Source organism: Homo sapiens, chromosome 12 (genome assembly GCF_000001405.40).
Source record: "Homo sapiens chromosome 12, GRCh38.p14 Primary Assembly".
Lineage (NCBI taxonomy): Eukaryota > Metazoa > Chordata > Mammalia > Primates > Hominidae > Homo > Homo sapiens.
Genome location: NC_000012.12, coordinates 44,711,396 through 44,727,572, shown reverse-complemented (window position 1 = coordinate 44,727,572; position 16,177 = coordinate 44,711,396). Strand labels below are relative to the sequence as shown.

Below are 16,177 nucleotides of genomic sequence, written 5' to 3'. Positions count from 1 at the left end.
CTCTTCCTCTCTCTTTCTGCTTTTCTCTCTCATTCTGCCTCTCCATCTCCCTCTTCTTCTCCATTTTTCCACTTCTGTTACTTTTATTACTCTTTTTGCAGTCATATTCATAAGCAAATTATTTAAAATTTAAGAAGCATCTGGAATAATTTTGGTCTGATTCTTATAGCAACCTGTGCATTACTGAGTGGGATTATCTAGGATTGAGATTTATAGTAAAAACTCCCTAAATTGACTAGTTGGATGAGTCTACACCAGTAATCCTTAACACTGCTCAGACATTAGAATCATCTGGATTCTCTTGAAAGATACTGATTTCCTAGGTCCCTCTCCTAGAGATTTTGATTTAGTTTGTTTGGATTCCACACAGATATTTTCAACAATTTCCCTATGTGCAATTTTTATGTGCAAGTCCAGTTGATAATTACTGATCTATAATCTTGCTACTCTAAGTGTGATCATTGAACCAGCAGCATTAGTATCCCTTGAGGCCTGGTTACATATGCAGAATTTCATGTCTCACTCTAGATCTACTGCTCAGCATACACATTTAAATAAGATCTCCAGGTGATTTGACAAACATTCATTGACAGTTTACATTGGCTCTGTTAAAAATTAAAAGAAATCAACTGAGTTTGAGGCTAAGCCTGTACACTTAATGTTTTCAACCCTGTTCATGTAAGTTGTATTTATATAATAATTGTAATATTACTTAACTGCTATAAATACATACTAATATATAAATCAACTAAATACAAATATGAAATGAAATAAAATTTGTTTTATACAAATTAAGTTGAATGATTTTGAAAAAGTTGATAAACTAAAATTACTAAAAAAGTACTGTTTTTCTCATTTTAAAGTTAAATTTATTTTAAACACGGTAAGTCTTTAACATAAAATGCAAGCATTTGAAAGCAATTGCAATCAAAATTTTCTTGATTATATTCAAGTTTAAGTATAACACATCTAAACTCTACCTTTATGTTTAGTTAGAAAAGCATTGGCAAATCATTGTATTTTAAGGTTTAGAATGAAATAAAGTTGAATGAGTCCAAATTCTAACCCATGGTTCTGAGGGTTAATTAACTAGAGATATGGAGATTTGACTGGACTAGAAAGCGAAGCCCATTGCGATTTGACTGGACTAGAAAGCGAAGCCCATTGCATCACCCACTTTAGGCAACACAAACTTTTTTGGGTTTCAGTTAAAATATGAAACACAAAGATAGACAGATAATATTTCTCACCTCATGAAGTCGTTTGAAGGAATAACAAAACTTAAAGAAATACATCTAGCGGAGTTCCTGATGATTTGTTTCATTCAGTAAAATATGTTTCCAACTCTTTCTTCAGTAAATGTATTTTTCTCCTTTGGAAATTTTATTTTAACTTTCTTAGTTTATAACTGTGTTTTATGTGTGTATATCTACTGTTATTTTTTTAAATTATTTATTGAAGGACTCTCTTGTCAATTACTTTTTACAGTAATAATTTTCAGTAAGTAAAAGTTTTAATAATATTTCTCAGTGTATTTATTGTTATGCATAATGGGATGTTAAAAAACTTTTTCTTACGTTTGGGGGTACATGTGAAGATTTGTTACATAGGTAAACATATGTCACTGGGGTTTGTTGTACATAGTATTTCATCACCCAGGTATTAAACCCAGTACCCAATAGTTATCTTTTCTGCTCCTCTTCCTACTCCCACCCTCCCTCATCAAATAGACCACAGTGTCTGCTGTTTCCTTCTTTGTGTTCATAAGTTCTTATCGTTTAGTTCCCACTTATAAGTGAAAACATGTGGTATTTGGTTTTCTGTTCCTGCGTTAGTTTGCTAAGGATAAGAGCCTCCAGCTCCATCCATGTTCCCACAACAGACATGATATTGTTTTTATGGCTGCATAGTGTTTCATGGTGCTTAGGTACCACATTTTTTTAATCCAGTCTGTCATTAATGGGCATTTATGTTGATTCCATGTCTTTGCTATTGTGAATAGTGCTGCAGTGAACAATCACGTGCATGTGTCTTTATGGTAGAAAGATTTATATTTGTCTGAGTATGTACCCAGTAATGGGATTGCTGGGCTGAATGGGAGTTCTGCTTTTAGTTTTTTTGAGGAATCACCATACTGCTTTCCACAATGGCTGAACTAATTTACACTCCCACCAACAGCGTATAATCATTCCCTTTTCTCTGCAACCTTGCCAGCAAATATTTTCTTTCATTTTGTAGGTTGTCTGTTTACTCTGTTTGTAGTTTCTTTGGCTGTGCAGAAACTCTTAAGTTTAGTTAGATCCCACTTGTCAATTTTTGCTTTTGTTGCAAAAATTTGTTGGTGTCTTTTTCATGAAATCTTCACCCATTCCTATGTCCAGAATGGTATTGCCCAGGTTGTCTTCCAGAGTTTTTATAGTTTTGGGTTTTGCATTTAAGTCTTTAATTCATCCTGAGTTGATTTTTGTACATGGTGTAAGGAAGGGGTCCAGCTTCAATTTTCTGCATATGGCTAGCCAGTTATCCTAGCACCATTTATTGAATAGGGAGTCTTCCTTATTGCTTGTTTTTTTTGTCAGCTTTGTTGAAGATCAGATAGTTGCAGATGTGCAGCCTTATTTCTGGGCTCTGTATTCTGTTCCATTGGTCTATGTCCTGTTTTTATACCAGTACCATGCTGTTTTGGTTTTGGTAGACTTGTAGTATAGTTTGAAGTTGGGTATTGTGATGCCTCTAGCCTTTTTTTTTTTTTTTTCCCCTTAGGATTGCCTTGTCTATTTAGGCTCTTTTTTGGTTCCATATGAATTTTAAAGTAGGTTTTTTTTTTCTAGTTCTGTGAAGAATGTCATTGGTAGTTTTATAGGAATACCACTGAATATGTAAACTGCTTTGGGCTGTGTAGCCATTTTAATGATATTGATTCTTCCTGTCTGTGAGCATGGGATGTTTTTCCATTTTTTTGTGTCTTCTCTGATTTATTTGAGGAGTGTTTTGTAATTCTCTTGGTAGAGGTCTTTCACTTTCCTGGGTAGCTGTATTCTTAGATGTTTTATTCTTTTTGTGGCAATTGTGAATGGGATTGCCATTCTGATTTGGCTCTCACTTTGGTTCTTGTTGGTGTATAAGAATGCTTATGATTTTTGTACACTGATTTTGTATCCTGCAAATTTCAACTTTTATTATAGATTAAAGCATACATATGCAGGTGTGTTATATGGATAAACTGCATGATGCTGAGGCTTGAGGTCCCAATGATTCCATCACCCAGGCAGAAAACATAGTACCCAACAGGTGGTTCTTTAGCCCACACCCTGCTCCCTTTCTCCCCCATCTAGTGATGCCCAGTGACTATTGTTCTTAATTTAACATCCATATGTATTCAGTGTTTAGCTCCCACTTATCAGTAAGAACATGTGGTTTTTGCTTTTCTGATCTCGTGTTAGGTTGTCTAGGATGATGGCCTCTAGCTGTGTCCAAGTTTTGCAAAGGGCATGATCTCATTCTTTTTTATGGCTGCATAGTATTCCATGGTGTATATATATACTACATTTTCTTTATCCAGTTCCTTGTTGATTGGCAGTTAGGTTGATTCCATGTCCTTGCTATCGTGAATAGTGCTGCAGTGAACATTCAGGTGCATATGTCTTTCTGACAGAATGAATTATTTTCCTTGGGTATATATCCAGTAGTGGGATTGCTGGGTTGAATGGTAGTTGTACTTTAAGTTCTTTGAAAACTCTACAAACGGCTTTCCATAGTGGCTAAACTAGTTTGCATTCTCACCAACAGTGTATAAGAGTTCCCTTAAAAAAGGTACCCTGAAATTATGTGTCAGTAAAACAACTGTAAATGTGGATGAAAACAGGGTATTAAAATTATTTCTCTTCAGACTGCTGAGCAAGTATCTATCTTATTACATTAAAAAAACCCCAAACAAAATGAAACTTATACTGGAAATTCTAGGTAACACATTGAAAGGCTTACTTATATAATCAAGACTACAATAAAGCACAATCAAGGAATCCATACTAAAATGTTCAACATCAAAACATGATTGAGTGTGAATTTGTGTGTTTAAAATGTTTAAAGTACATATTTATTGTCGTATATGATTTCTCAGTTTAACTGATTATTTTCAAACAATAGGCCAAATTCCATCAGATAACATAGGATAAAAAGGCTTCTACTGAATATCTCTGGACTGCCTCTATTCAAATGTTAATTTTATTTTTCTCTTCGATTTCCCCTTTCTCTGCATAGTAAAATAGTTGTCAACTTAGCTCTACCTGGGCAGCTCTAAAATATTAAAAGACCCAAGTCCTACCCTCAGAATTTTTTAACTCGTCTAGCATGCAAATAGGGCATTGAGTTTTTTTTTTTTTGAGACGGAGTCTTGCTCTGTCGCCCAGGCTGGAGTGCAGTGTGGTGCGATCTCGGCTCACTGCAAGCTCCGCCTCCCGGGTTCATGTCATTCTCCTGCCTCAGTCTCCCAAGTAGCTGGGACTACAGGCGCCCACCACCATGACCGGCTAATTTTTTTGTATTTTTAGTAGAGACGGGGTTTCACCGTGTTAGCCAGGATGGTCTCAATCTCCTGAACTTGTGATCTGCCCACCTCGGCCTCCCAAAGTGCTGGGATTACAAGTGTGAGCCACTGTGCCTGGCCAGGCATTGAATTTTAAATGTTCTTCAGGTGATTTTAATATGCATCTATTGTTGAGATCCATCAGCCTACTGGTTTGGGAGTATAGGTAAAACCAAGTTATAATAAATCACTTCCAGGTAATATAGGTTTCTAGACTGGATGTTCATTGGAATCCTGGGACAAAGTATATTATTGTGATTATTACTCTATTTTTGAATGTATTATGAGTACTCTTTTCCTGATTTAAATCATGCTAAATCATTTCACCCTCAGTGCTTATTTTCAAACACTCCTCTGTGTGAAGCATTTCCATTTCCACCCTTGTAAGACTGTGTTCTTCTCTGAGTTATATTTAGTTACCTGTGCATGTGCCCATCATTTCCCACATTAGGCTGAATGCTCCTTGAAGGCAGGGAAGATGACTTTCTACTACAGTGTTTCAGTGTCAATAAATGTTTCTTAGGTGGGGTGTGGTGGCTCACACCTATAATCCCAGCACTTTGGGAGGTCAAGGTTGAAGGATGACTTGAGGTCAGGACTTCAAAACAAGCCTGGGCAACAGAGTGAGACCCTGTCTCTACAAAAAATTAAAAAATTAGTGGGGCATTTTGGCGCATGCCTGTAGTCCCAACTACTCAGGAGGCTGAGGTGGATCACTTGAGCCCGGGAGGTTGAGGTTGCAGTTCATCGTGCCACAGCACTCCAACCTGGGCAACAAAGTGAGACCCTGTTGCAAAAAAAAAAAAGTTTCTTATTTTCACCAGGTGTTACCATTCTTGCCCCATGTCTTTATGAAATTGTTTTGGTTCTCCTGTTTATCATTTTATTGCTTACTCCTTTTCCTTCTCCTGTTCCATCTCCAGTATGCTATCAAATTTTTCTGTCCTCAGTTGCTTCCTCTGCTCTCTCTTCCCTCCTCTTTGTGCCATTCCTTCCGCTTGTCTTACTCTACACAGAGCTTGCTCCCTTTAACTGTGTGCTTTTTCTCTTATCTTGGCCCACATTCTTTGCATAATGGAGTTATTAATATAGCTGTCATGAAACTGCATTGAAAAATTTCCTCCTAATAGAGCTGCACCTCAATAGTTACCTCTTTTGTTTTACCTGCACACCAGAAACTGTTATAAAAGAGCAAAATCACTTTTTCAATGTTTTTTTACTTGTAATCTCTTAGTTGAGCACTAATATTTGGTTTATAATGAAAAGAATCATGCTTTGCAGTTCACACAGCATTTTGTGTTCAATATCTTCGTCACTATAACATCAAAACAACATGTGTCTAAATGGTGCTGGGCATTTTGAAAAAAAAAAGTTACACAAAGTTAAACCAAAGACGATGTTCCTGTATTGACCAAATTCACTGGGTTGGTGGTAAGAAAAGATGCACATAAGGACTGTCATATGGATTCTAGTTCTAACTTTGAAAGTGACAATATGTAAACTTTTCCTTACTATATTATACATTATATTTCTTTGTGTAGTGGTAATGAAACCTTTCTTCATGTGTGTCCATGTTTGTCGCTTTAATAGTATTTAAGTATTGACACAAATACTGTATTTTCCTCTAAATCTTTACCTCCAGTCATTCAATTTATTTTTCATATTGTCAGAGGACTAAATGAATTGATTATATTGTTGTTTTAATAGACTGTTATATGGTATATGAGCCAGGATCAAGAACAAGACTAGTGACAGAAAAGCAGCTAAATTAAAAGAATTTCAGAATATTTTTAGATTGCCATTTAAATTGGTAAAGTTAGAGTCAAAAATGCTGAATCTCTGCTTACAGCAATAGCGTGTGCTTTTTTGCTATTAACTTCTAAACATTCAATTTTTGTTTCCTCAGCATATACATTCTCTAACCTAGAGGCTGATCTGGACAGGGTGCTTGAATTTTTGCTCTTGTTCTATTCTGGGAGGTACTTTTATCCTCCTTTGCCTCCTAACCCCTCACTACTGCTAAATTTACAGTATTTCAGGGCCTGTTCTCTTTTTGGAAGAATAAGCTACTGACCTAAATTAAGGCCACCTATGGGAAGCACACTTTGGTCCTTTAGAAGCCCAAGGACATGGTGTATATAAAACAGAAAAGGGAGGTTGCATAACTACTATCAAGATCTCACTTCTTAAACTCTAATATTAGTTTGGCAAACAACTAAATTCCCAAACAATTAATGAGATTTAGCTAAGGGGCAGGATCATGTCTAATTCATGAATTTGTGAATTATTTAAGCACTCTGAACTTCTGATCATTTTAAATAGCATTGACTCACAAAAACTGGTTTTATATAGGGAAAGAAGAAAGTTTTGTCATTACATTGTCCGAGCAGACTTTCTTTGAGCATGCTAATTTGCATTATTCATGTTAGTAAGTTACTGCTATGAGAGTAACCAGCTACTTTCTTACTGCTCCCATTTCAGATGTTTCAAATGTGCTCGAGTTGAAAGTAAGCTGTCATTTTACAGAAAGGGCAGACTCCTTCTGTAAGACACAGGCTATAGAATCTTTTTTATAAGATGCAAACTCCACAGGTGAGACCAAATGTAAAGGGAAAAATGAGGTTTCAGTTCACTTATTTTTAGATTTCTTTATCAAACAGGAAGCTGAAAGAGAATTTACCAAAAAATTTAACAAACCTTGAGAGTATATTATGCAGGGCCCATGCTGGGTGCTGAATAAAATCCAAAGACAAGTAAGACACTCTGTCCTGAGATAAGAAAGATGAAAAAGTGTACAACTCACTAGAGAAAAGGAAAATGTGTTCAGTGCTATAATAGAGATTTAAGCATTGTAGAGAAGAGAGAGAGATTAATTTGTATCAGTTAGTGCTCAATACTTTTATTATGACCATATTGTTAAGAATTGACTCCAAGTGAGTCCAGTTAACAAAAAAAGGTTGTAGGCAGGATAAATGCAGCATAGCTGATTGGAGCTTTTTAAGAATATTAAAACACTTTTAAAATTTTTTGTTTGACTTTGCAGAATCTTAGCCTGCCTCATGAATGCATTTATTGTACATTCTTTTCAAAAATGTATAATAAGAATACAAATATACATAATTATAGTTAATGAGTTTTTTTCTCATCCAACAGCTTTGATTTGTATATCACTAACAAAATATTGGCTCAGAATGAAGTAACTGCTATTATACATTTTTAAGAAGTCTCCCAAAGGGAATCAAAATTTCAAACAATACCATTGGAAAGCTACTACTATATAAAACTCTGTCCTTAACAGACTGTCAATCCAAAGATCACTGATATTTGGTGTTTTGAAAAAGAATTTTAAAGAAACTGTAAGTCCCATGACTCACTTAAGTGAATTACACTGGCTTTCTTTTTGGTGTTTATAACTTTTAATTTTGTAAGGAATCATTTTTAAAGGTATTGGTACCAACTGGGAAGTTTAAAGTAGATGCATGAATTTTAAATCAGGTAATAAGAGGAAAAAGCTAGATATGTAGTGAGGAAATGTTTAAAAGTGAAATATGATGCCCTTTTGCTTGTATATTCTGAAATGTTTTTAGATAGGTTTAGATGATTCTTTCTACAAGGGTTTGCTAAAGTTCATTAAAATCTCATTAGAGGAAACTGCAGTTGCCATCTCTGCATTAATGACCAGTAAATCAAGATGTTAATGTGCAACTTAGAATTTTCAGAGTTTTACTGGCTTCTTTCACTTATCCATTTCTCAATCTGTGTTATAAATTACCTTTCACTTTTTAACAACTGATGACTTCTAAATTTGTCTGTAGCATCTCTTGGCTCCTATTTGCTGTTAATCGTTTTTATGTTCTTAAAATGGGGGAAAATGAAGTGAAAATAATTTTTATTAATTGATTTTTTTGGATTCCATCATAATTATGATGCTAGTGACTATCCAGTTTGTAATGTTTAAGATAGCCTTGGTAGAACGTATACATCAAGTGTTATATTGTCCTATTGAATTTCTCCAAGTTGTTGTTAATGTCTCCACTTATAACTGAATAGACTGTGCATAGGAAAGCTCTGGGTGACCTAAATCACACAGACCATGATGTGAATGCACTGCCTGGAGTTATGCCAACAGCAGCACCTACTAGAGTCGAGTAAATATGCATTTCACATTGTTTAATATTAATAACTAACAAGTAGCTGTGGTTCTGTGGGTTAATATGATTTCAAAATGGTATAGCATTCTTAGTCTACAAACTGATAAGCCTGTATGAATAAATTAAGTACATCTCCCTAGAAGTTTTATATCTTAAAGTATATACACATAATATATTCAATCAATCACTCAGCATAGACTTTTGAAAATATGGCCTAATTGAAACAGTTCTGCTTTAAGCTAGTAAGTGATTGGAGGTGTAGAAATCCAAAGTTACATCATAAAGAACTTAATGTGGTATACACACTCACTCACATATACACAAGCCACACAACAAAACTAGGGAAGAAATGAAGCCTCTGGCTGTAAACATGTGCATGCAATTAACATGGTTAAAAGGAGCAACAAATATAGTAAAAATGATTATTCCTTTATTGTTTTATTGAGGAAGTGAATTTTCTTACTTTATACTCTACTGGGGAGAGGTTAGAAGGCAGATACTTTTCAGTTAGAGAATTCCAGGGACGGTCCTGTAGCCATTGTGGTAGCCAGCGATTATTGTTATCTCTCAGAATTTGCACCTGATACCTGCATGGGTTCGCCTTGGTTAAAATTAGGGCATAGGCCCGATCTGCTTTCCCTCCTCTGTTTACACACTTGATTTTCCCAGAGCTCAGTTCCCTCATTTTACCCTCTGGCTGCCTATAAACCTCATTTTGATAATCTCAAGGAGGGACAACATTTTAAAAATATCAGTTTTCTCTTTCAAATCTTTTGTTTCTGTGTTCCGCTCTCTCATGCCCTTCTGAGCAAGCTATCCTGGTAAACTAGACCTCTTAATGGCTTATAGTGAATTAACGTAATAGACATTTGTTCTTGTTATTGTTCCTGGGCACCCAACACTCCCATTTCCATTCTTTGTCCTCTGTCCCCCAGGAGCCTGACTTCTGCAGCCTGCATCACTCTGGTCTCCTTGCCAGCTAGTTTCAAGTAGCGTTCACCAATGGGAGACACTGGCAGGAAACTGGAAGGCAGGAGGAGGAGAGAAGGTTGGCTATGTTTCTTTCCTGCACCAAGCTATGTCTCTGGCAGTAGCTGTGCTCTCATGATTACAGCTTTTACAAGGCAGCCTCTCCTCCATAATTCTGGCTTACACTGGACTCTAGTAAAACCATTTTCTTCCCTTGTTCCTTAGCCTTAGGGTAATGATGATCCCTTGCTTTTACCACAGTCTGGATCCTTAACCAGCCCTTGTTTATTTTCTTAATCTTAATCCAGCTGTCCCTTCTTAGAAGTTCGTTCGGTCTCCTGAGTTTCCATATAACTTATGGATTATTTAATCATAGAATTTCAGTTTGACTTCTCTTAGAGTTAGTTGTGTATGAGTCTGTCTGCCCTACTAAATATTGAGGCATGAAGCACATTAAATTCGTCTTTGAATTCCAGTACCTAGGAGAATATCTAACATGTAATAGGAGCTCAGTACATATTTGTTAAATGTATGAATAGGTTAACATGACTGTTACTCTCTCAGTCTTCTCTTAGAAAACTCCTAGAGCCATTCTAATGGCATTTTTATGATTCCTTGCAGTGTTTTTAGGAATCATTATATCTTTTTTGAATTTCTTCACATTTCTCCTCTAAAGAGTCTAGGGAAGAAATATCCTACTAGTATTACTGAATATTCCATGTCAACATTAGACTTATGGAGAATTACAGCAACTGATCAAAAAAGAAATGAGATAAAAATCACTCACTTTGGTTTCTCTCTAAGCCAACTTCATCCTGCTTGTGCTCATTGCTTGAAAGAGAATTAAGCAATTGTGACCTCATTCATTTTTGTGCTTTTTCCCTCCCTGCCAAGCTCCATTTGGTGCCCTATTGTCCCACAAGTTGCCTATTTGAGTCTTCTGAATTAAGAGTCTCAAACAGAAGGCCCATCTGCTCTACATGAATATTAAATTATCAAAAGACTTTTAATAAGGAGAATTTACCCTTGTGTTTTTTTTACAATGTTTCCTTTCCCCTCTGTGTAAGATTTAGAGCACCATTGTTTTTCTTCCACATACGCTTGGACTTGAATAGGCTGCAGTTATCAAGTCGTATAATATAATAGGCTTAGAAACTTTTGAATGGCAGGTACTGAATAGATGTAAGAAAGGTTTTGTTTATTCTCATTATCTTATAAAATATAGTACTTATTAAGTATAATTAAACATGCAATATGCTAGGTCTTGGTATGTTGAGGTTACTGAGTTTCATAAAAACAAAAAAATCCTAAAAATTAGATGTCAGAGAGGTAAATTTTGCAATCAATCATGTTTATTAAGTAAATGCACATACCATTTTAATTCATAATATGATAGATAGTATGCAACTGACAAATACATAGTTTCATTTTGAATATTCACGAGTGAGCATATTTTAGCCAGACTTTAAGTCATATGATTAGTGCAAGTAAATTTTATTCTTTGCTAGCAAGCTCTAAAAAGTTCAAAATCAGTTGGCTAGGAGATATGCATTATGTAGTCAAATTTGTTAATAAATGCTGTGTAAGGAGATCAGTTGGAGGATGACATTTTAAAAAACGTGCATGGTTTCCATTATTTAATTAATTTATTTATTTGACATTATTTAAATGTGCAACTTTAAAATAGTTTTTCAAGGAAAGCGAGAGTCAGGTTATACTTTGGGAATGAATATTTGTACAACAATATATTGATATTATTAAGAGAATAGACCAGGCATGGTGGCTCATGCCTATAACCCCAGCACTTTGGGAGGCTTAGGCAGAAGGACCACTTAAGGACAGGAGTTTGAGACCATCGTGGGCAACACAGCAAGACCCTGTCTCTAAAAGAAAAAAATAAATAATAAAATTTAAAAGTAAAAATATGTCTACTTTCTTCCTTCTTTATTATTGGCAAGTTGATAGTTTTAAAGGTAATAGGGATATATAAATTCCAAAGAGTGAGACAATTTCTCATAATTCACACAGTGGAATCAAAAGAAAATATACCCATTCACTTTATATAATTTGTATAGTTAAAATAAAAAATTGGATTTAGTAAATTTGGGGAACAAATTGCCAGAGTCTGTATCAGTTGATCACTTCCACTGGTCTTTGAAATAATTATCTTGGGGTAGATCTAGATGTTATGGGGACCTGAAGCATCTACAATATTGGGTGGCCTTTCAAAGATAAACAATACAAAATTATGAAAGGAGAACTTAGTTCAGCATCTTACAAGGAGCCTAAGCCAGAGAAGGACGCTGAAAATTAGGCATCATTAGCTTTAGGGTAAATCTGTTTCACCTTAGGTGATGAGTCAGTGTAGGTCGTGTGAAATACTTCAAAACAAGGAAATGATTTCTGTTGGCTAAATGTTTGTGTGAACTGTAAATATGTTGCAGGTTTTAGAAAAAGATTATTTGATACTCTATGCATTTTTATGGATTAAAAACATATTTTTCCCATGGAATCTAAGGTTACATTTTAAAATTTCACTTAATTGTGATGGAAGCAAGGCAGGTTCAGATTCAGACCTCTCAGCATCCTAGATGGGGTGCCCTAACCCATACATACTTATAAATAAAATGACACTAAACCATAAAACTTAAAACTTACATGGATGTGCTGAAATGAATATACCTTCTTTCTATTATAATGTTCTATTTTAAAATTCTGTAATGGTATATAAAACAAAAACTTTTCTCATATTGTTCCCTGAGTCTCATATTACCCCTGATTTATTGCCGCCCTAAGTGACTACTTAATATGCCCTAAGTGGGACATCATCTATTAGGCAAGTAATTGGCTGTAAGTCTGCTTTTTGGCACTACTTTTTCAGAGTCTAATTCAGACATGTCATTGCCCTTTATCTTTTTTATATCTTATTTTACTCTCTCAACTTAATTTGCATGACACTAATTTAAGTTTACATGTGCCTTGCAGTAGATTGAATTGAGGTTTCTGGTTAGTCATACATGTTGAAAAAAGGTGTATAACATGTGGAATGCTGTTACAAGATGATCTGATCCCTTCTAAGCTATTTTTCCCAATAAAATAAATATATATGTATTTTTTACTCCAAAGCGATATGCCAATTTCAAGGACGAACCTACTTTGAAGGAGAAAGAAATACAGTCTATTCCTCTTCTGGAGTATGTGTTCTCTATGAGTGCAAGGTAAGAAGACTATTCGTGGGTCTTTCAAAATTGTTTCTATTTATAAACAAGATAAAAGTTTCTTTACTAGCTCAACCTTGAAATACATTTTTGAAATTCTAATGCAAAGAGAAAATTCACAATATTAATTATCATTTGAATGTAAAGAAATTCTCATTTTTAAGCATGTAAATTAGTGGTTGAAAAATAATTTTTCCAAGAAATGAAAATGCTATTTTGTCAAATTAAAGCTTTATGAAGTTGTCGTATGTTTTCCAAATTCAAATAAGCTCCTTATTTGCTCTTGGGAGGAAAATGTAGGTGAAGTTAGACTTAGCTTTTTGTCACTCATGATTTTGTACCATGTGAGAAGTATTGCTCAGTTCAATTAAAAACAAAACGAAAAATTACCTAACTAAAATTAATTGTTGGATGGAGTTGAGACTGATATTTATCTAATTCCCTTTGGAAGGAGTGTTTTAAATTAGTTAAAGGGAAATTCCTTACAAATTTACTTGCCAAGGTTTCTGAAGCAAATGTGATTCATTTGAATTTTTGCCCCTCGACCTACTAATTGAAAAACTAAATATGTTTCACAACACTTTTCATGTTTGTCTTTTGTAAATTATAATGTTATATTTCTTGACCCTAATGTTACATTAAAATCCTTATTCTATATGAAGGAAACTGTCTATATATAAAATTTCTGCTTTAGGGTTTCATTTTTATTTGATAGTTAATTTTCCTCTTTAAATACCTCCTATACATGGTTTGGGAAATGATTTAGTATGTATAAATTATGTAGAAAATTAAGATAGTGATTTATGCTGCTGGCACCACCAATAAACTATGATTGCTAAGAGTGAGGGAAAGGAAAATCCTAAGAATTTTGCTAAGACAAATTGAATCTGAAAGAAGCTATCCAGTTTATGCATCTTAATTTGGAAATCCTTTGAGATAAGCAAGGAGGAGATGCAAAGAGGCAAGACTGTGACAGATTTGATTTCTAGAACATGAAAGCTCTGATTTCTTCATGCCCATTATAAAGTATCCTCTCTTCTTCTTTTAGTTTTAAATCAGCTTTCCAATGATGTAGGTTCTCATCTTAGAGAATAGAGGCACAGGAACATTAAAATGAATTCCTCAACCTGTATTTCAAGATGATGGATTTTCCTTTATCAGCCTCCCTACACCAATGCCGTTTTAAGTGGAGTAAGTCTCACAATAGATAAAAGAATTGGAAGACAGAGTGAGATCTAGTAACTCCAAAATGAGAAAAGAGACTCAGAGAAGTTACTTCAAGGAGGGAAGAAAACTTCTGCCAGCTGGCTTCTAATAGTAATCTCTAACATTAAAATTTTGGTTCTAAATTTAAAAATCTTGAGAGCATTTAAAGTTTCTCTACTTCTCTTTCTCTCTCTCTCTGTCTCTCTCTCTCTCTCTCTGTCTCTCTCTGTGTGTGTGTGTGTGTGTGTGTGTGTGTGTGTGTGTGTATCCTATTCATTTTACCAGAATGTGTCTCATAATACTGATAATTGTGGTTTAGAAATGTACTGGTATAATTGCCTATTGGATTTTAAATTTGCTATTATATAAGATTATTTGATTTTAAATAGGTTCAGTTAGAAGTCTTTATAGAGGCAACACAGCAGGTGCTCATAAATTTTAGATAAATGAGTGAATGTTACCTTTTATTTGCTCAAACAAAAGGCACCATTTTCTACCTTCTAATGCTGCACCATCCAATAGAAATATGATGCAAGCCACAAACGTAATTTTTATTGGACTAGTTTTTTTCTGTTTTCCCCGATATATCCAAAATATCATCATTTCAACATGTAATCAATATTAAATTTATTAATAAAATATTGTACATTCTTTTGTTACACCAAGTCTTCAAACTCTCTTGCATACTTTGCAATTACAGTGTAAAAGAGCCACATGTACCTAGTGACTACTGATTGGACAGCACAGCTCTATCAGATCATCATAAGCTTTTGTACTAAATTCTTCACTTTAAGGTGTTCCACAGTTTCTTTTCCCTTCAAGGCCCTTAGCTCCTGTATTTACTGTGTTGCAGAATTGACAGCTCTCTCACACATCCATTTTCTGGGCTGTCAATTCGAGTCCCTGTTTGTTCTTTTATTGTCAGTTTTGTCCTTTTGAAAATATTAGCAGTCCTAGGGGTCTGTGACTTTCATAGTAACACAGAAAAACACTGTGGTTTAGAAAATCAGATTACCAGAACTGATATTACTACTAAACCAAAAGAAGACTAGCGTTTGACTCCACTGTATACATGCCTCCTGCCAAGCTTCTTGACAAGAGCTTATGATTTGGAGAAGGTCCTTTACATAAATGAGCCAGGAAAAGGCAGATATTGAAATGTGCACTTCTTCTATGAAAGCATTCCTTGCAGAAATTCAATCTACAAATCTAAGCTATTGAGCAGTAGTTAACATGGAAGCTTGCAAGTTCCAAGAGTTATTTAATTACTTATGTATTGGTTAGCATAATATAACATAGTTAATGATCCTTGTTTTTAGGACATTGGAGACTGACAGTATAGAAAACAAATGTTTGCTCCTAAGGCAAGAATACTTCAATTATCAGAAGTGTATTTTGTATTTTGGTTTCTCCTTGGGAAGTGTTTAATCTTTTTGGCTGCAAGAACTACAGTGATTTTACATTGATTTATTCATTTATTCAAGAAATTTTTTAAGTGCCAATTATGTGCCTGAAAATGTGCTAGACATTAATTTACAAGAGACAAGAATCCTGCCCTCATTTTCCCTGTAGTTTTGTGGAAGACATCCAATATTTCTTACCAGAATCATCTGTGAGAATCTCCTTATAATAAAACTTTATAAGAAAACTGAAATGTTTCGAAAGCTCAATTTTAATTTACTGTTTTTTTTCAAAAGCTGTTGATATAATTCAAACTGTATCTTTGCCACAATTGTCATCTGGGCTTGCAAAATGTGTTGTAAAACTAGCAAAATTTTCCAGGATTACCCAGATGTTTGGCAAATTATAGACATGGCTGCAGTGTGGTGGAATCAGTGTGGCTGATTCTTATTCTAAAGACTTGCTTATTCTAAAGACTTTCCAATTGGGATTTAATGTCATTTTGGGAGTGAGCCCATGACCTGTGCAGAGGTCCTCAGGACAAAAATTTCTTGATCTTAAAAGAGTCTTCTCAGATGCTGGATCTGGAAACTTCTTAACAAGTCCTAATGATAAAATTTGAAGCACTTCTTTTCTGTTGTCTAACA

The 16,177-nt window shown here is 34.7% G+C and overlaps 1 protein-coding gene across 6 annotated transcripts in view; it reads left to right on the top strand.

Annotated features, from left to right (window-relative positions):
* Positions 1-16,177, top strand: part of NELL2 (neural EGFL like 2) — a 413,574-nt gene that overhangs the window by 194,276 nt on the left and 203,121 nt on the right. For all 6 annotated transcript variants that reach the window (XM_011538396.2, NM_006159.2, NM_001145110.2 and 3 more), the window contains one exon: positions 12,832-12,923. In XM_011538396.2, coding sequence (XP_011536698.1) covers positions 12,832-12,923 — 92 coding nt within the window. The remainder of the gene's footprint in view (positions 1-12,831; positions 12,924-16,177) is intronic.